Below are 295 nucleotides of genomic sequence, written 5' to 3'. Positions count from 1 at the left end.
CTCATTGGTATCAGTGAAGCTAATGATAGTGGAATCTAGTGGGAGGCAGATCAGAGGATTCAATCACAAACTGCAGCTGGAAGCCCCTTGGTGACTGGCTTGACAACTCACCCAGCAGGGCTGCTTCCTACTAAATGGTAATAGAACAACCTATTCAGTCCTCTCAGGGAATTCAAAGGAAAGAGAGTGGTATAGAAATCAAGAAAAACAGGCTGCGTGCAATGGCTCACGCCTGTAGTAATCCCAGCATTTTGGGAGGCAAAGGCGGGTGGATCACCTGAGGTCAGGAAACCCA

The sequence above is a fragment of the Homo sapiens genome, chromosome 16 (assembly GCF_000001405.40).
Source record: "Homo sapiens chromosome 16, GRCh38.p14 Primary Assembly".
Classification (NCBI taxonomy): Eukaryota; Metazoa; Chordata; class Mammalia; order Primates; family Hominidae; genus Homo; species Homo sapiens.
The sequence above is the reverse complement of the archived record's forward strand: the minus strand, read 5'-3'. Positions refer to the sequence as shown.